The sequence below is a fragment of the Homo sapiens genome, chromosome 8, assembly GCF_000001405.40.
Source record: "Homo sapiens chromosome 8, GRCh38.p14 Primary Assembly".
In the NCBI taxonomy this organism is placed as follows: domain Eukaryota; kingdom Metazoa; phylum Chordata; class Mammalia; order Primates; family Hominidae; genus Homo; species Homo sapiens.
The window spans coordinates 16,735,361-16,756,406 of record NC_000008.11 but is presented as its reverse complement, the minus strand read 5'-3'; the positions used below and the strand labels follow the sequence as shown (position 1 = coordinate 16,756,406).

At 38.1% G+C, this 21,046-nt stretch overlaps 1 long non-coding RNA gene across 1 annotated transcript in view; it reads left to right on the top strand.

Moving 5' to 3' along the window:
• The first annotated feature begins 969 nt into the window (after nucleotides 1-969).
• LOC101929028 (uncharacterized) overlaps nucleotides 970-21,046 on the top strand; it is a 382,849-nt gene continuing 362,772 nt past the window's right edge. Inside the window, exon 1 of the long non-coding RNA XR_007061175.1 lies at nucleotides 970-1,056. This is a non-coding gene — a long non-coding RNA (uncharacterized LOC101929028). The remainder of the gene's footprint in view (nucleotides 1,057-21,046) is intronic.

Below are 21,046 nucleotides of genomic sequence, written 5' to 3'. Positions count from 1 at the left end.
CCTGACTGTTACTTTTGGAGACAATATGGACTAGAGATAAGTTACCTTTATAACATTTGAAAAATGTAGCAGGATGCATGCTTACCCTTAGGGGAATGAGTCACTCTGTCTATTACAGTGTGGAAATAACAATCTGTCTTCCTACATAAATTTTTACACTAATTTAACTGTTTTGTGATGTGGTTTGGGATCATTTGGATTCAGAGAATCCTGTACACGAGCCACTATTTTGTGATAATATTTTCTAATTTCGGTTTAAAATTTTTTTTTTGCATACAGTTTCCAGGATTACCTAAAAAGAGTGGTTCAGGTATACACATTCTACAAAAAAAACCTGTGTATTAAAAAACATTCATTGCCTGCTCAATTGCATAGTAATTCTTAGAATTTTTAACGACAGGAGTTTGTGAGCTATAGACTGAAAAATGATCAAAGAGCCAGTAGCGCTAACCTTACTTCTATTTATAGTTATCATAATGGCCCCCAGTCCTGACTGCGACTCTTGTTCAACTTCAGTCATCCGGAACCCATTACCCAGGTTTCAATGCATTGGCTTATTCTCTTGCTTAAAGTTTCACTGATGAATGTTTTTTCATATTTGGTGCCTGCCTTTGGAAAGATAGCTGCAAGCAAGGAACACTCATTAACTCAGTTATATAAGGGGGGAAGCGTTGAAGAAAGGCAAACTTTTCTTACCGATGTAAAGACATTTTTGGAACTGTTAAATCTCTAGAGGAGAAAATGATTTTGCAATGCATATTCCATGCCTTGTAGAGTCTATCACAAACACAGCCACTGACGTTTAAAGGTACTATTTAAGAAAACACAGCTGGTAGGCATAATATTTAAATATTGCCCCGACGTGATGCCCGGCAGCTGCTGCTGCATAACATTTGAAGTGCATAATAGTCAAAGTTAGAGCCGTCTCCAGGGAAGTGTTCAGAGAGAGTGAACTGAAACTTGTTCTCTAGTCTTTTCTCCCGGATGGGAAGCAATGACGTGGGGAGAGAGCGCGGAGGAAGGGAGAGATCCAGAAAGGTAGATTCTTCTGTGTAGGTGAGTGGATGAGATAATGAAGCAAGTTAATTTGGGCTCTGCTGACTTATTTATCTGTCCCGGGCACTTTTCTCTGTACAAGCACAGGAAGCCATCTCCTTCCTGAGGTTTTTAATGAAACAATTTACTTGAAATAATAATAAAAAAGAAGAGCTTCACATGCTGCTTGCATTTAAATTAGAGTCTTTCCTCTCCAGAGTAGGCTTTGTAATTGATTAGTAACACTGGGATGAAAATATCCCAACTATCTCTGAGAAAGGTGGATTAATTCACTTGTGGTACGCTAAATGATTTGGATTGTTTTTCTCCATCTCTTAAAATGTGACCATGACAGATATTGAGAAAGTTAATGAGTGTATGGTTTTTTTTCTTCTTAAAAAGAAGACAGCTATTTAAAAAACAAAAATGAGAAAAAAAGAATCTTAGTTTTATGAGATAGTGACCAATGTTTCTCCCCAGAAGTTGTATAATTCTGATTTACAACCGTGGTGACTCATGTTTCTCCCCTAAAGTTGTATAATTCTGACTCTACAACTGATTTATAATTCAAACTTTAAAATGGATTCAGACTGACTCTTTGTAATATTCAGGTTGTACCATCCCGTGCCGAATGTGAATGCAGAGAGGGCAAACACTTTATTTTGGGAATGTTTTACTTAGTGCCAGGTATTCTGTGAGTGTAAAGTGTTAATTGATGTTGTTGACTCCAGAGATACTTACGTTTGGGATTACATTTTTGAATACTGAATTAATTTTAGAAACCATGTCTAATTGAAGTATACATCTTTTTGTGTTTAAACCTTTAGAATGATATTCTTTACTTTTCCAATTACTTGTTCCACTCTTTGAAAATCACTAGTGTTAGCAAACTCTTCATTATATTTAAATACATTTATAGAATCACAGGTCTCTTCTTTAAGATGCTATTTCTTTGCTCCTAGTAGCCCTCAGAGGATTCAGTACAACATTTAAAAATCTAAAATCTTATGGAAGCAACCTGTGATTTTCTTTTATATTACATTCCAGTGTCAAATAACTGTTACAGTTGAGAACTTTTTCCTGCCAAAACTAAATTCCTCCCCTTAAATTTTAAGCCTATATATCAGAACCCAGAACAAGACCCTCTCTACCCACCCTGTACAAAGCTATCATTCTCTTTTTCGCCTGGAATGGTGACACAGAAAAAAAAGCTGTTTGGTTTCACATAAGGAGCCAATTTTTCATCTTGACAAACTCATGTGATTACTGTGTTTACTGATATAGTTCCTTGACCAGGCTTTGAGTCATCTCTTTGGAGATTTTACCACTTTTGACTGTAAGGGAAGAGAAAGTTATGTGGTGCTATTTCTCCAAGAGTGTCTAGGACTTGCAGTACAAATGCTGTGGGATAATAATTTCACCCAGCAGGCTCTAGGAAACTAACAGCAGCTTTCTAGGTGATTAAAATTTCAAAAGACCTAGATACCCATTTAAATGTAATAGGATTGAAGATGAAAGTGCTTAGGGTGTTTGGTTAATTCCTTAGGATCTAGCCTAGACTTGTTACAGCTAATGTCCAATTAGAGGACAATGTCCATTATTAGCCTAAAGTTTTCTCTAAATTTCCATTTTCAATGCAAATCTAATTATCACAAACATATTAAATTATTGGGGATGAGTGGAGCAAAGAGGAAAGGATAATCATTGCATATTCACCATTGCTTCCATTTGTAAAGACAATCACTGTTGGAGATCAAAAGATAGCTAAGACAGTGTTCTTGCTTTTAAAGACCGAATGTTCTCGAAAGTGTAAAAGCTAAGTACAAAAGTATGGCTTTCATAACGTGAGAAGAGAAGAAACCCAGAAATGGAAGAAAAATAGTGGTTGTTGGGGAAAGACCAGTAATCCAGTCACAAATACTGAACAAAGTGCTGACCCACAGGGGTGAGGAAGTATGCGGAATTGAAGAAGAAAGGATATTACTTGAATTAGAGCTCTGGCTACTTTGAATAGCAGCAGGAGCTGTACAAATAACTCCTTAAGTGACTTGAGTGAGAGGACATAGTCAGATTTTTATAAAAAAATATTCCAACTCTTTCCTTGAATTTATAATGGCTATTTTTATTGCTTTAAGATTTAGGATTACTGCCATATTGAAGAAAATGAGAACAAAAACTTTTCAGTCTTTCCAGAAAATTGCCTGGAAGGAGAAAAAGAAGCAATAAGTGAACATGACAAATCAATGAGTCGAAGTGGTCATAGGATGTTCCTATTATTTAAATGTTAAGGCTGGTTTATGTCTTTAGCATTGCCTGGTGGTCTTACAATCAATTTACCTTAACAGTTTGCCACCCAACCAAGGAATAAATAATAATGAAAATGTGTATTACAACATTCATTTTATTTTTCACATTCTCAGTGAGTGAAAAGTAATTGAAACAGGATGTAGGGGGAAGAGCAGTCCTGTCTCATGACTACTCTGAGGCTGTTTCCTCATCTGTAATGTCTGTGCTGTTAGTTTTGATAGGTGACTGTGTAATGCAGAGATTTGAATAACTTGCCAGCTGCTTTTTGTCACATGGGTTGCCAAGGAATAACTGTGATGCAAAGGACAGTTAAGGCAAACGTACATGCTAGTATTGCCTGCTGAGGATTTGACCGTGTTACCCTGTGTTGGCTGGGCACAGTGGCTCACACCTGTAATCCCGGTACTTTGGGAGGCCAAGGAGGGCAGATCGCTTGAGACCAGGAGTTCAAGACCAGCCTGGCCAATATGGTGAAATCCCATCTCTACTAAAAATACAAAAAAATAGCTGGGCATGGTGGCATGTGCCCATAATCCCAGCTCTTTGGGAGTCTGAGGCAGGAGAATTGCTTGAACCTGGGAGGTGGAGGTTGCAGTGAGCTGAGATTGTGCTACTGCACTGCAGCCTGGGCAAGAGAGCGAGACTCCGACTCAAAAAAAAAAAAAAAAAAAAAAAACAACCCTGTGCTGTATCTTATTATGGTAAACAGAAGGAACAGAATGAATGTGAGACTCCAAAGGTCATTTTCTTGCCTAGCTGAAGGCTTAGATGTGCCCACTGGCCTCCTTATTTCGTGCAGTTTTTTTACATAGGTATACACGTGCTGTGGTGGTTTGCTGCACCCATCAACCCGTCCCCTACATTAGGTATTTCTCCTAATGCTCTCCCTCCCCTTGCCCCCCATCCCCCCACAGGCCTTGGTGTGTGATGTTCCCCTCCCTGTGTCCATGTGTTCTCATTGTTCAACTCCCACTTGTAAGTGAGAACATGGCGGTGTTTGGTTTTCTGTTCTTGTGTTAGTTTGCTGAGAATGATGGTTTCCAGATTCATCCATGTTCCTGCAAAGGGTATGAACTCATCCTTTTTTATGGCTGTACAGTATTCCATGGTGTATGTGGAGAAATAGGAATGCTTTTACACTGTTGGTAGGAGTGTAAATTAGTTCAACCATTGCGGAAGACAGTGTGGGGATTCCTCAAGGATCTAGAACTAGAAATACCATTTGACCTGGTAATCCCATTACTGGCTATATGCCCAAAGGATTATATATCATTCTATAAAGACACATGCACATATGTGTTTATTGGGGTACTATTCACAACAGCAAAGACTTGGAACCAACCCAAATATCCATCAATGATAGACTGGATAAAGAAAATGTGGCACATATTTCCTTATTCTTGACTCCTGTGGTCTTACCTCTCTGATGAGATTAGAGGAAACATGAAGATGAATACAAGGTAGAAACAACATACCTTTTTTGAGATAATAGAGAAGAGCTAGCTTAAGCCATTGAATTCACGGTTGTTTTTTCTTAGATTCTACCATGATCCTGCTAGGTCTTCGAGGGTGCCTCACCCGTGCACCAAGGAGGAAATCCACATCACGGGGGAGGAAAGAGAGAAAAAGAAAAGCCACAAGCATACAAACAAAAACAGACAAACAGTTGTGCCACTCAAGTAAAGTATGCAAAGAGAGAGAATAATTGAACAAAAGATAATCCAGACAAATAATTCCAAGTAGATGGCTGACCCACTGATTCATTTATACATAGAAATCTTGCAGTGTCTACTGGGTATGAGGTACTTCCTTAGGGTCTAAGACAGACAAGGACCCTTTGTTCATGGAAGTTACATTTTAGTGGGATGGGAGAAACAATAAACGAGTAAATGTGTAGCTGAATAATATAATTTCTTCTAATTGTAAAAATTATTAAGAAAATAAAGTATGAGCTGAGAGTGGTGGCTCACACTCTGGGAGGCCTGAGGCTTGAGCTCAGGAGTTCGAGATGGCAGTGAGCTATGATGGTGCCACTGCACTCCAACCTGGGTGACAGAGTAAGACCCTGTCTCTAAAAAAATAGAAACAAAAATAAATAAGTAAAAATAAAATAAAATATGGTGTTGCGGTAGTGAATGGAGGGGGCTGAATTGAGTCTGACCAAATCTTTGCAGAAGGCATCACCATCCAATGAATACTGAGAGATTTGGTGTCTATCAAGTAGACAGACACAGATGGGTACTGCACTCTTTAGTCTGTGCCTATGGGCTAATACATATGACTAGTGTCTACTATACATTAAGACTGCTGGATCAGGTGAAATCATATGAGATTATATACAGGAAACTCTTTTATAAAATCTATCCAACAACTATTTATTGTACACCTTCTATATGCCGGACATACATTAGTGAATAACACACACACACACACACACACACACACCCTGCTTGTGGTGTTTACAATCTATTTAAAGATAGAATATAATTATTCTTTTTTTTTTTTACAAAAAGGCAAACTTAAGGCTATAATTTCTGTAATGAAGCCATTTTAATTTGTGTTCTATTATATTGAAATTTCAAATATTTGTGAAACAAATGCTGCGTTTTATTTATTTAGAGGCATTTTCACCTGATGTTCTTATACCTTGCATAATTGCTTTATTCTGAATCAGGTTTGGTCACTAAGCAAAGTGAGGATTCTATTTTGACTTGATCATTCAGTATTTTGTGTTTCTAGCCTTCTGGTTTATCCTACAGTTTTATTTTGCAAAGAATTTGTCTATTTTTGAAGTTATTTATTATGGTATAAGCAGACATAAAACTATAACTTCTATATGCCTTATGGTTCAATCTGCTGCCTCAAAACAGCTATGTGAGTCTATTTATCTTTCCTACTTTCTAATGTATTTTAGCAGACCAAGGAATATTGGTTGAAGATGCAGAAACATACATCTTATGAGAAAATGGGTCGGCTTAACATCTTCAACTTTGAAATGGGCATGCGGCCCAAAACATTCACAGCAATAAAATTATTCCTTAACTTACAATGATTAATGAGAAGAAGGTGCCTCTTTACCTCAGCTAATTTCTACAGATGACAGAGCAAGTAGGAGAGAAGAAATACAACTTGCTCTGAGTTTTTTCATGACCCTAGTGAAGGTTAAAATAACAGGAAACTGATGGGTCATACAATGTCTATTTTCCATGAGGTGAAAAAACCTCATTTCACTACTTTATTAGTCCGTTTTCACACTGCTGATAAAGACATACCCGAGACTGGGTAACTTATAAAGAAAAAGAGGTTTAATGGACTCACAGTTCCACGCGGCAGGGGAGGCCTCACAATCATGGTGAAAGACACAAGACACATGGCAGCAGACAAGAGGGAATGAGAGCGAAAAGAAAGGGGAAATCCCTTATAAAATCATCAGATCTCGTGAGACTTATTCACTATCACAAGAACAGTATGGGGGAAACCGCCCCCATGATTCACATGTCTCCCACTGGGTCCCTCCCACAACACATGGGAATTAAGGAAGCTACAATTCAAGATGAGATTTGGGTGGGGCCACAGCCAAACCATATCAACTACCAACCTGCAAACTCTCACAGGCGAGTGAACTGCATTCAGGGTGCCCAGGCAAATGATATTCAGGGAGAAAATCGAATTGTTCTTAAAAATGTACCCTACAATGTGTGCTCATGATTTTTTTTGCGGTGAAAATGTAGTAATAAGTATAAAATTAACTCTGCATTCTAGGATTTCCTTAGAAAGTGCTCAGCTCCCCTAATTCTATGAGAACAAATAGCATTAAATTAGAAAAAGGAAGCAGAGGAAAATAACTAAGAAATGTGAGATACAAAAGTTAACACAGGAAAAGAAAAAAGAAAATATTAAAAGAAAGTATGACTCAAATCCCCCGTGGTTCCCCCACCAGTTCAACTAAAGTAAACAATGAACTATTGTGAAATTCTTCCTAATCTAATTTTTTAAATGGCTGACACATTCATGATAATATCTTGGATAGAACCTTTTGAGATTGGGAGAAATATTTTTTTGGAAATCTCATTGTGAACCGGCATTTTCAGATTCTGGCTGTGATGCTGCCTAGCCTCTAGATAAGGGCAAATGAGTGACTGTCAAAAAAAGAGAATCAGTGAAAAATGACTGGGTGGTAGTGACATAAGATAGAAAAATAGAAAAAAGATGAGCAGAAAAATAAATCTGACGAGGCTTTTTATATGAGACAATAGTACTTTTGTGTAGTTTTTTGTTTGTTTGTTTTTTAAAGAAATGTCATTTTCTAACCCTATGTGTCAAGATAGATGGCTACGTGTTGTTTTATTAGCCAGGTGTGGTGGCATGTGCTTGTAGTCCCAGCTACTCAGGAGGCTGAGGCAGGAGAATTGCTTGAACCTGGGAGGCGGAGGTTGCAGTGAGGTAGAGGCTGTAGTGAGTTGAGATCACGCCACTGCACTCCAGTCTGAGTGACAGAGTGAGACTTGGTCTCAAAAAAACAAACAAACAGAACAACAGCAGCAAAAAAAGATAGACTGCTATGTGTTGTTTTCTGCTTAGCTTATCTAGAACAATCAGGCAGGTGCATGCAAGATATTTTCCGCTATTTTGTGTGCCGTCAAATCTATTTTCTATCATCAAGAGATTATTCAACCCAAGGCACCTCTGACAGGCAGATATATAATTACAAAACATTATGTTTTAGCCTCCATAACATTAGTTTTGCTGATACCTCTATTACTGTGATAACCACTATATTGAAAAAGCACGGATTATGCCTGAGGACAGAGTTGTTGCTTCAGCAACTAGATTTGGAAATTAATCAATCTGAGGTTCTGTGAAATTTAATTTGGAAACTGCTGGCTTTAAATATGAATTTTGCTTTTTTTTCAGGGGGCAGCGAGTGAATTTTTTTTTACTCAAGGATAATAATTAGCCCTTGCCTGTCAAAGAAGGAAAATTCTGCTTCATTAATAGACCCAAGAGAGGAGGCTCTCTGAACTTGCTTTAACATCCAGCTGGTAGAGTCAGGATTCAGCAGAGAAACATCTGGGCTGCAAAGGGATTGAGGGCTTTCCTCCCAGGGACTAAAACACTGCTTATTGTAAAGATTTCTATTATATTAGGGTCAAGGAGAATTGAAAAATAAGAGGAAGGAATCATTTTTGGGCAGCCAGATTTTATTTCTCCTGTGGGCACATATGATGCTTGGGAATTATTATGTTAAGCATAAACTTAATAAATGCTTTTTCCAGTCCTCCCTATTATAATTATATATGCAAGAGAAAGGTTGCATGTTCACTCAAGGATAATGGGTTTCAGATTAAGGTGCCCTATCATCCAACAATTCAAAAGACGCTCCTGGACCAAACTCATTTCTATAAGAACATAGCAATGGGTTAAGGCAAATGGCAGTTTCAATGTTTTTCTCTTCCCTTCATTTTCTGGTTTGCTGGTGTAATGATGTCTGAGTACCTTAGTCAGTGCTGTCCAATAGAACTTTCTGTGATGACTGAAACGTTCTATACCTGCATTTGTCCACTATGGTAGCCACTCATCACATGTGGCTACTGAGTGTTTGAAATGTGTCTAGTGAGACTAAGAAATATATTTTAAATTTTATTTAATTTTAGCTGATTTAAATTTGAATAACCATATGTGGCTAGATACTATAGCATTGACAGAAAGATCTGAAGAGTGGAATAAAACCATTAATGACGCATTGATCTACACTGATTAGGCTTCTTCGATGCTAGCATTAGAATTATTAAAATGTCACGTAGTGTTGTCACTTCACAAAAATAAATTTTCTATGCCTTTTACTTTTTAAACCAAGAGAGGAACATGCATTTTCAGATCAGATGAGCGGTTCAGTGAATATGCTTTCATGAACAATTTTACTTCTCCTATTTGGCATAGGAAATTGATCTCTGAGTCATGTAAAGGGAACTCTTTGCTCCTGGAGAAGACACATCATGACACTCAGTGGTAATTGAACATGAATTGTCTGAAAGTTGCAATATCTCAGTTTTGTTCAGGATTAGACTTGCTTTCTTCAACAGGACAGGAGAACTGTCACTATTAGGTGAAGGGTATCAGGTGAAGTGTTCAGGCGCTCTGAACTTTTTGTGTTACAATTGTATTTGTTTAACAAGGGATGGACTTTTTGTATTGCAGTTGTAGTTGTAAAAGAAGTCAATAGTAGATATTTAATACTTTTTTCACTAATTATTCTTACAGTGAATTCTGTTATGTGATCTTTTGCATTCATGTATTAACTATGTTATGAGAGACGAAACATCAGCTCACATCAAGAACTGGAAATTTCTCTCTTTTAGGATGATAGATAGAACATACTCTATCTTGATCTCATATAGCTGTCAACACTTTTTCATAATAGATAATTTATAGCATGCTAACAAAAGATGCAAATATAAACGTGAGCTACTGAAATGAATTTCTATTCCTGTGAACTTTCATTATGCACTATGTAGGCATTATCTAGGTGTTAAAGGTTTCATTCCGTAATACATGAAGGTTGCATTTGTGTAAGCATGGTTGCAAAATGATAACAGCAAGCATTGTGGTGGCTAACAATTTGGCCTTCTTATCTTTATATTCACTGTCATCCTCATTCTCCCTGTTTCCAAAGAAGACACTGTCAGTGGTGTGCTGGAGTGTTCATGATGGTTGACCAGAGCTGACTGCATACCTTTTATCAACTCCATGTTCAGTGATACCATGTCGGGAGCTTGAAATTGGCCATGTTGGGAATATGTAGACCAAGAAATTGTCAAATGCTACAGATCAAGGCTGTTTTATTTTGGGAGAGATGGTTGTTAAACACTTAACAGCATACTACTAGATACAGAGGTGACCAGCTCTGTGCTAATTGTAATGGTGGGGACAGAAGCACCAGGGACAGGAGATCAGGGAGCTATTTCTTTTCTACTCCTGTCCCCTCATTTCCACTGAAAGTGTTCTATTTGCCAATCAGGTAGAAATAAAGTCTGAGTCAAAATGTTCCACAGTTGTCTGTATAGGCTTGATGGTAAGCTTTAAATAATTATTTAGGCCAGGTGTGGTGGCTCAGGCCTGTAATCCCAGCATTTTGGAGGCCCAGGCAGGAAGACAGCTTGAGCCTAGGAGTTCGAGAACAGCATGGGTAGCATAGCAAGACCTTGTCTCTACAAAAATACAACAAGTTAGCTCAGCATGGTGGTGTGTGCCTGTAGTTCAAGCTACTTAGGAGGCTAGGGCAGGAGGATCACTTGAGCCTAGGAGTTTGAGTCTGTAATGAGCCATGATCCTGCCACTGCACTCCAGCCTGGGCAGCAGAGTGAGACACTGTCTCAAAAAAAATTAATTAAAAAACAATTATTTGTAGGCCTCTTATATAAATACACCCCCCATTATGAAGAGTTTAAAGGAATTTATAATGAAAGTTGGAGCATCCCAAAGCTGCAGCCAAGCCTTGTCAGTGACCCATCTTATTTGGGACACTCTAGTAATTACAACCATTGCCAAATCCTTTCATGTAAATGGAGAACGTTGAGATGAAGAACTTAAACATGACTTTGCACTATAGCCATGCAAAGTAAACCCTGTGTGAGTTTATGGTGGGGTTTGACAACACATAGAAAAAATATGCACCCTTTTCAATCCTAAAAGTGAGCTCAAGTTCATTATACCATTTGTGGGGCTAAGGGCTCCTTTCTATTAGGTGTAGTTCACTACTGTCTTTAATTTTAGTCTTAATTCTGGGTCTATGTTTTTCTATCATTATACTTTCCCTCATTTCGAAGACTTCAATCTTTTCTTGACTCAGGAAATGAAAAGTGGATGAAGCTGGGAAAATTGAGGGACTGTAGGAAATTTAACGGATAGATTGTGAATATTTATGAATTATTTCACATCCTCTCTTCTGTTTCTTCCTTGTCAACTTTCTTCTACAAATGTTTTGCTAAGGTAGAAAGACCAATCAATTTCAATATGAAATATGTAAAATGCTGTCAGCCTAAAGAATTGCCCTCTGATAACATTACTTTTAGAGATGTTTCTAGACAAGAGGAGTAAAATTGCACTCAAGAGGTCTATGAGGAATGAGTTGTTATAGTAATACTTTTTACTAAAGGAACTTACTCATTTTTTCTTCTCTTTCCTCATTTTGAACTTTGTCCCACTTACTAAACTCTCTTGTGTTGTATTAGCGTTCTTCTCCTAATTAAATTAAAAAAAAAACCCTCAAAACTCATGTTCTTCAGAATATTTGGAGACAAGTTATCAGGAAAACTCACTTACCTTACCTAAATATATTCCAGAAAGATCTCATTTCCAGTGCTGTCCATTGAGAACCTTCCTAACATACTTCAGTACTTCCCATTCTGAGCTCTACAACTGTGGACAGTCATATAGTTTAAGAGAATTTGGGGGTGACAGTGTGTTCAGGGAGTTGCAGTGCCAAATTCTGAAAGCTGATTGCTTCGTTAGGGAGACTGGGAATGTTGGCAGCACTGAAATAACTTTTTCTTTTGGAAGGTTTGCTCCTTGCAACAATAATCTCACGTCAGGTGCAAATCAGCACATGGCAAAATAATAATCCTGGAATGCTGATTCTTTTGAAGGGTTGGAGGTAGGTAAGAGTTCAACTCCTCTTTCTCAAGTGGAAGTTCACACATTTGAGAAAGCAATCCACCTTTTGGAGAATATAGCAATAAAAACAAACAACCGTTTTTCAAGTAAAAATCCAAACAGTAACAAGTTTTCCTGCAGTGCTTCCTTTCAGAGCATGTCTTAAGAGACTAAAAGAAAGGCAGAAAGGAAAAGAATGAAAACAAAAATCTTTGACAACTTGCAAGACTTAAATAAAAGAAACCTGAAGATGCTCCGTATAGCAAATACTCAACAGATGCATGCTTACAAAACATTTCATGGTGTTCAGTTTGACTCTAGATATGCTGACATAGGAAGCATTAAAGTGAATGCTTATTTTTCTCACAACCACACTTCTTATCCTAACATCTAAATGGCAGTCAGAAATTCCTGGTGCTTGAACTCCAGTTGCTTTTTGGCTGAGTTTTTAAATTCTATAAGCCTTCTTCATATATATATATATATAACATAATTAAGATAACGATGATGCTTATTTCACAGGTTTATTTTGTCATTATTGTTTATTTTTGTTTTTACTTCCAAGCCATACTATGATTCTATTTACTTGTTTTCATATCTGTTGCCATTATCTTAGCCCAGTTGTCAATCATCTCTTACCTGGAACACTGCGATAATTTCCTGCTAGTCTTTCTCTTTCTCTCTTGATTTTCTCCATTTCTTGCACAGAATTTTATTTCTGGAAAAGAGAAGTAAAATTGCACTCAAGATGTCTACTAAAAATGAATTGTTATAGTAATACTTTTTACTAAGGGAGCTTACTCATTTTTTTCTCCTCTTTCCTCATTTTGAACTTTGTTCCACTTACTAAAATCTCTTGTGTTGTATCAGAATTTTCTTTCTCCTAATTAAATAAAAAAAAATCTCAAAACTGATATTCTTCAGAATATTTGGGGAGAAGGTATCAGGAAAACTCACCTTTCCTAGATATGTTCCAGAAATATCTCACTCCCAGTGCTGTCTGTTGAGAATCTTCCTAATATACTTCAGTACTTCCCATTCTAAGCTCTACACCTGTGCAAGTAAATTTCTGTGCAAGTGGGTAAGAAATGGAGAAAATCAAGAGAAAAAAAAACAGATCAGATTATTTACTTTCTCAATTAAAATAATTCAGCATTTTCCTTTTGTGGTTAGAATAAAATCTGAACTCTTTTTCTTGGCCTGAAAGGATTTAAGAGATCTTGGCTCTTTTATTTAATTTTCTCTAGGCTTTTGTAGTTGCCCCTTCTGCCTGGAATTTTTTCTTTTTTAATCTATCTCCAGTTCTTATTATGTGTGGCTCTTTGTCCTCTGCTGGGCCCACCTCAAATGATGGTCTTCCTTACTCCTTCATCTCACTTGTACACACCTAGCTATTGCCAATCTAACCACCATGCTAATTTTCTTTAGTGCAATATAAACTTACATTTGAACGTCGATTGCTTTCTTGTTTGTGTTTTATTTCCCCATAGGAATGTAGGCTTCATTGAGGTAAGGAAACATGGATATCTTGATCACCATCATATTTCCAGGGCCCAGTAACCACGTGGAATGTAGCTGTCATGCGCAATAACAACTAGGACATATTGAGAACTCACTCTGTGATAGGCCCTCTTCTAAGGGATTTATGTGCACAAACTCATTTGCCTCTCACAACTTGTGGGATAGGTATTATTTTTACCCTGTTTTACAGATAGGAATTTGAATATTATGGCCAAGGTCATTTAGTTAAAAATGGTAGCCTAAAGGAGAGTAGCTGCAGAGTTCAACTCTGTACTCGTTTTTCGAATCCTAATTAATATTTGTTGAATAAGTCACTGTTTAGTGAATTGTACCTGCCTAGCATTCTAACAAGTGTTAAAAATTAAAGCTATTATTCATATTATTTTATTAATATTGGAACCTTTTATTCTTATTGGCACGCTGTCTCAAAGCTGTAGTGATCAGGGTATGAGTTAAAGCTGTTAGAAAGTCGCACAAGTTGCTGACCAGACCGTGAAAGTTCTCCCAAGTTAGCTATCTATTCATAATAATTCTGTGGCAGACCTACCTGGAGTCAAATCAGCTGATTTGATAAGGCTATCTCAAACAGCCTTGTGGAATGTGAATCTTCATTTTAAATTTGAGAATCTAATGCTACTTGATGTTTCACAAATCTTACTTATAATCAATGTTACACTTCTATGGAAGCTATAAAACATATTTCGGTGACTGGAAGCCATTCAAAAGATTATCTAGAGATTTAATACTTTTAAATTGGAAGCAGAATAAGTTCAGGGGTTGAGCAACAGAGGGGAAACTCCAGGGCTGAGTCTTCATCTGATCCCCACCTCACTATCTTTTGTTGGTCTTTGCTCACGTCGATCAAATTTGACCTTTAATAAGAGACTTGAAACAACAAAAGGAGGTGAATACTCATTTAAAGTTTAAGTTGTTATACCAATTTGGACTAACAATGCATCCAAAAAAGACTAGTTAATATGCTGGAGATATGAAGCATGTTTGGACAGAATTCTGTTCACAGAGTAGTGGGGTTTCTCACCTTCACTCTAAGGGTTAGATAGGAAGTCCTGATCGTCTTGTCTCATGGAACTATTATGAAGATTTGAAAATAATAATACATGTAAGAAATTTGTGCAGTGCCAGACATATAGTAAATTATATAATTTTTCCAAATCGCCACCGCCCACCACTTTTTTTTGAGACAGGTGCTCACTCTGTTGCCCAGCCTGGAGTACAGTGGCACAATCACAGCTCACTGCAGCGTCAACTTCCCAGACTCAAGTGATCCTCCCACCTCATCCTCCTAAGTAGCTGGACTATAGATGCCTGTCAACATTCCCAGCTCATTTTTATATTTCTTTTTATTTATTTATTTTTTTTTTATTTTTTGTAGAGACAGGGTTTTGCCTTGTTGCCTAGGTTGGTCTCGAATTCCTATGCTCAAACAATCCACTTGCCTCAGCCTCCCGAAGTGCTGGGATTACAGCCATGAGCCACCCCACCTGGCCAAAAATATCACGAGGCCTTTTTTTCTTTTTTTTAAATTTGAGACTTCCTGGAAAACTAAATGAATGTGTGAATGTGTAGAGAATGACTCACTCTTATTAGTTTGTGCAGTAATACACAGGGTTGACTTACATATGTCAAGGCAGATAATGTAAGTCTTACAAAACATGGCGCAGTAACGACTCAAAGGACAGAAGCCCGGAGTAGGTACAGACTTGGCCTTCCTCTCAGAAGGGGCCTGGGTCCATCAGAGACAAATTCCTACCTATTCCTTTTCCCACTGGGATGAATTGTGGTTTCTGAGAAGCATTAACAATGTGTGCCAAACATAAGAGCTCAGAGGCAGCTGTTTAGGACTTGTTAGTTATCACTAGCTGCCATCACAAATGGCCATAAATTTAGTGGCCTAAAACAACAACACTTATGATCTCACAATTCTTTAGGCTGGACATTTGTTAGGCTCAGCTTGTTTATCTGCTGTGGATGCCGCAGAGCTGCAAGCTGAAAGCTATGGGGGAGAATCTGCTTTTAGGCTTATTCAGGTTTTAGCAGAATTCAGTCCTAGGTGGTTGTAGGACTGAAGTTTCTGTTTTCTTGCTCACTTTCAGCCAGGAGTCATTCTCATCTTTCATAACTGCCCAAGTTTCTTGACTTATGGACCTCTGTGTCTTCAAAGCCATTTACAGCATGTTGATCTCATGCCTCCTCTCTCCTGTCTGCTCTTCTGCTGCATCTCTCTATCTTCCTGCAGCCAGCAGAAGTTATCCATTTTTAAGATTTCATGTGACTAGGTTGGTCCCCTAGGATAATTCAGGATTATCTCCCTCTAATTGCATTGGCAAAGTCCTTTCTGCCTAATTGCATTGGCAAAGTCCTTTCTGCCAGGTGTATTAGTCTGTTTTCACACTGCTATAAAGATTCTACCGGAGACTAGGTAATTTAAAAAGAAAAGAGGTTTAATTGCCTCACAGTTCCGCATGGCTGGGGAGGCCTCAAGAAACTCATGGCAGAAAGTGAAGGTAAGCAAGGCACATCTTACATGGGCAGGAGAGAGAAAAAGCACAGGGGAAATTGCCAGTTTTAAAACCATCAGATCTCAGCCTAGTGTGGTGGCTCACACCTGTAATGCCAGAACTTTGGGAGGACAAGGCAGGTGGATCGCTTGAACCAGGAGCTCGAGACCAGCCTAGCCAACATGGTGAAACCCCGTCTCTACTAAAAATACAAAAATTAGCCAGGCATGGTGACCTGTGCCTGTGATCCCAACTACTGGCAAGGCTGAGACAGGAGAATTGCTTGAACCCAGGAGGTAGAGGTTTCAGTGAGCTGAGACTGTGCCACTGCACTGCAGCCTGGGTGCCAGAGTGAGACTCTCTTCCAAAACAAACAAACAAACAAACAAGCCAACAAACAAGCAAGCAAACAAATCAACCCATCAGATCTCCTGAGAACTCCCTCACTATCATGAGAACAGCATGGGAGAAACCACCTTCATGATCCCATCACCTCCCACCAAGTCCCTCCCTCCACCTGTGAGGATTACAATTCAAGGTGAGATTTGGGTAGGGACATAGAGCCAAACCATAACACCAGCTGAGGTAACATATTTACAGGTTCAGATGATTCTTGCTGTGTTCTTACACAGCCTTTCCTCTGGACTACACAGAGAGCAAGCAAGCTCTCTGATGTCTCTTCTTCTTCTTTATTTTTTTTAATTTTTTTTATATGGTATCTTGTTCTGTTCACCCAGGCTGGAGTTCAGCGGCATGATCTCGGCTCATTGCAACCTACGCCTCCCTGGTTCAAGTGATTCTCCTGCCTCAGCCTCCCAAGTAGCTGGGACTACAGGCATGCGCCACCACACCAAGCTAATTTTTGTATTTTTGGTAGAGATGGGGTTTCACCATGTTGGCCAGGATGGTCTCGATCTCTGGACTTTGTGATCTGCTTGCCTTGGCCTCCCAAAGTGCTGGGATTATGATGTCTCTTCTTATAAGGACTCTATTCCTATGTATCAGGGTATCACTTGTATGACCTTATTAACCTTAATTACTTCCTTAGAGACCCCATCTCCAAACACAGACTCACTGGGGGTTAGGGCTTCACCATATGGATTTTGGGAGGGACACGAATATTCAGGTCATAACATGGATGTTGAGTGGGCAATGGAAAAATAAGCCTGGAATTTGGGAGAGATGTCCAGACTGGAGATACAAATTATACATTTGGGAGTTATCTGCAGGTGCATGAGAATTATAATCATGAGACAGATGAGATTGTCAAGGAAAGAAATGCAGATAGAGATGGGACTAAAGACTGAGGCCTGAGGTTTTACAGTAGGTTTAAGAGAGAAATTGGAGACCAGGGATAAAGATGTCTCTTGAGGAGCTTTGCAGCAAAGGAAAGCAAAGAAATGTGGTACTATCTAGTGAAAGAGATGACATCAAGATTTATTTTTAAAGACTGAGCATTAATAGAATATAAACTAATAGAAATAATCCAGTAGTGAGGACAAATTGATGGTATAGCAAAGAGAGGAAAGAATCATCTAAGTGCTAACCTCATATCAGTTAAAGGGGATGGGTTATAGTGTACAATTCCAATAAGTCTCTTTGGAAAGGAAAGGGAATCTTTAATCTCAGGGAAAAGGTGGGAAGGCAGAATGGGTGAAGATGCTGGTTGGAGGGTCCATAGATTGTGGGAGTTCTTTTCTGATTGAATAAAGTAGGAAGCCAGATTGTCTGCTGAGAATGAAATGAGGAGAAAGTGTTGAAGGTTTGATGATGGGAGATAGTCGTCTTGAGAGAGTGGAGTATGAATGGAAAAGAGAAAGTATAATGTGGTTTCCAGAAGCATTAAAGGCTTGGTTCATGGTCATGAATATAAAGCAACTTAAATGAGGGTTTTTCTTTATCTGGATTCATCCACCCATGTGCAGGTGAGAGAGTAAGCAGAGAGTTGGATTTAACTGGTATGTGATTTTGCCAGAGAAAGACAAGGAAAAAGAGGAGTAAAGTCATCGAAGGTGTATGCAACAATTTGATGATAATAATTGCTGGTGGAATTTTGCCTGAGTAAAGTGGCCTGAGTAATAAAGAGGGCACAGTGTCTCATGCCTGTAATTCCAGCAATTTGGGAGGCCAAGGCGGGAGGATTGCTTGTGCCCAGGAGTTCGAGACCAGCCTGGGCAACATCACCAGACCTTGTCTCAATAAATAATAACAATAAAAATAAAACAGGGATGTAGAATGTAGGGGGTGTTCAAAATATCATGGTGGTGAGGATAATGGATTGGAAGTGCTGGTGAATTCTAAGGATTGTGTGAATTGGGGTGTTAGAGGAAGTGAGCTAGAAAGACCCAAGGTGGTAATAAAACAGTAGGAATCTTGACATTGAGATTGTAAAGAAAATGCTGTTATTGCTAGTGACAAAGTCTGAAATGGCCATGGGAATGACTGTAAACTCATAGGTTGTATGTGTTTGCGCATGTGTGTGTGTGTGTGTGTATGCGTGTTTTAATATGCTTTGTGGAAAGAAAGAGTAGTACTGTATCACCATAGCAGGGGGTATTGAACCTATGTAGAATTTCTAGAAGGCAGGTAATAAGAAATAATACATGATCCTACCTCATCTCTATTAAAATATGGCTTTGATGACTGGTAATGATTTTTTAAGAGTTTAATATGAGAAAGTGATTCATGGTTGATGACAGCAGTTCTGAATCTGTAAAAATGCAGAACTTTGAAAAGTGTCTTCATCTCAACTAACTTTGAAATATATATATATCTATTTTTTCTTTTTTTTCAAAGTTTTGAAATGTGTGGTCACTGTGCAGCTCACTGCCCATCTGGAACCTACTCAATTCATAGACATTTTCAATCTGGTTTCTAGGCAGTTCTCTTTGCAATGAAGCAGTACCTCCATGAATACAAAATGATTTATGGATAAACTAGAACCATAGCTTTTCTGCTCTTCTTCTGACCTTTTAGAGTCAAAAGCAAAATCCAATATCACAGACGACAAATTTTTATAGGATCACGGCATGACCTGGAATTACTTTCATTGCACATAAGTAGTTGCACTCTGATCTAGAAAATCATAGTTTATTCAGATCAATGGCTTTTCATTATTTCTTGCTTGATATTATAGGTTTAAGTTCAACTTTAAATACATCTCATTTGTTAGAAACGTGTGGGTTTCTAATGTGTGCTGATGACTTTTAATATTACTTCAATAATCTTTTCATTTCACTGAAATATGTTTGTAGTGATTATATTGTTCAGACAAAAGAACAATCTCTGAGGTACAATTTGATTCAATTATCTGCAACCTCTTGCTGATGGCATTTCATTTAAAAATGTATTTAGTTGTTTATTTGCATTTTTATACATTTATATTCCTTCCAGATTACATAAAAGAAGTAAGGCAGCTTATGACAGTCTGTATTTGTTATGGAAACTTCTTTGCTTTCTTTTTCCATTAAATCCCCATCAGTGTTTATTTGCCAGCTAGGTTTAGACAGACTTCTCTACTCCTTAACTGTACTTGCAGATAGAATTCCTTGCTTCCTGAGGCTTCTAAGACAAGTTCTGGACTCATGATTTCAACTTTCTTTGTGGTCCTTAGCATTTAGTGCCAGCTAGGCTAAACTTGGTAACAATACCCCACAGGTAAAAGGGGTACCACATTTATGTTTATTTATGCCATCATGTAATATGTGAGACTGAATATGAATAAGTACTGGAATGAGCAAATCAGGTAAGCCAAGTGATACAGGAATTTAATAGAGAATTAGGATTTGGCAGGGATGTTTCTTTGTTTTTATTTGTTTTGAGAGGATATTTAATTTTTAGGGTCTTCTCAAATCCTAAATATCAGAAGCTAGAAAGTCTTTCTTTGGACTTGGAAACTTTGTATACTCTTCTTGATGACAGTTGCAAGTGCTTTTGCAACTTTTTGACCAGATTTCTGGTTTTGGTCTCAACTTTTTGACCAGATTTCTGGTTTTGGTCTCAAAAAGCAGTAGGGTGGGAAAGAAAAGAATACAGTATGTGAAAGAAAAATTTTAACTTTTTTTTCTTTTGAGAAGGTTAATACTAGCTTCTATATGAATGTTTCAGACTGCTTAAATTTCTCAAGTACTTTCTCCACTAACCCCTTATCGTCTGATATTTTCCCCATTAACTTTCTCTTCAGTGATTTAAAGCTTTATTCACAGTTAAAATACAAATGCCTGTAATTCATGTACCCAATTATTTCAGGCAAGCGTTATATGCTTTGCAACTCCTAGTCCTCAGGGCAGGTTTTATAAGAGATCTGGTAGGAAGGGTGATGATGGAAACCACTCACTCTCACTTTCTTACAATCAAACTTTCTCCTCACTTGTACTCACTATATTTATGCCTGATTGTTTCTCTTACTCCCTCCCTCTTTTCTTTCTTCCCTTTTTTCCTTGCTTCTTCCTTCTCCTTTCTTTCTCCTTTCTGCTTTTCCTGACTAAAAATTCCTGTTGAACTAATTCAGTTGTGAATTTCAGAAAAATTTCCAGGATATGTCTCAGTTTTTTTTTTTTTTGAGACGAAGTCCTGCTTTTTAGAAGCAGAAAACTAATGATATAATATTTCTAAGATTCCTGATTTAATTTGGAAACAAATTTTAAAAGAAAGTTATCTACAATATCAAGCAGTAATTTGATTTTTATTGTTATTATCGAGACAGAGTCTCTCTCTGTTGCCCAGGCTGGAGTGCAATGGTGCGATCTCGGCTCACTGCAATCTCTGCCTCCTGGGTTCAAGCAATTCTCCTGCCTCAGCCTCCTGAGTAGCTGGGACTACAGGTGTGCGCCACCATGTCCGGCTAATTTTTGTATTTTTAGTAGAGACGGGATTTCACCGTGTTGGCCAGGATGGTCTTAAACTCCCGGCCTCCCACAGTGCTGGGATTACAGGCATGAGCCACGGTGCCCGGCCCATGTCTCAGTTTTGATAATTCTTTCTCATAATCAGTTCATTTTCTCAAACATCGT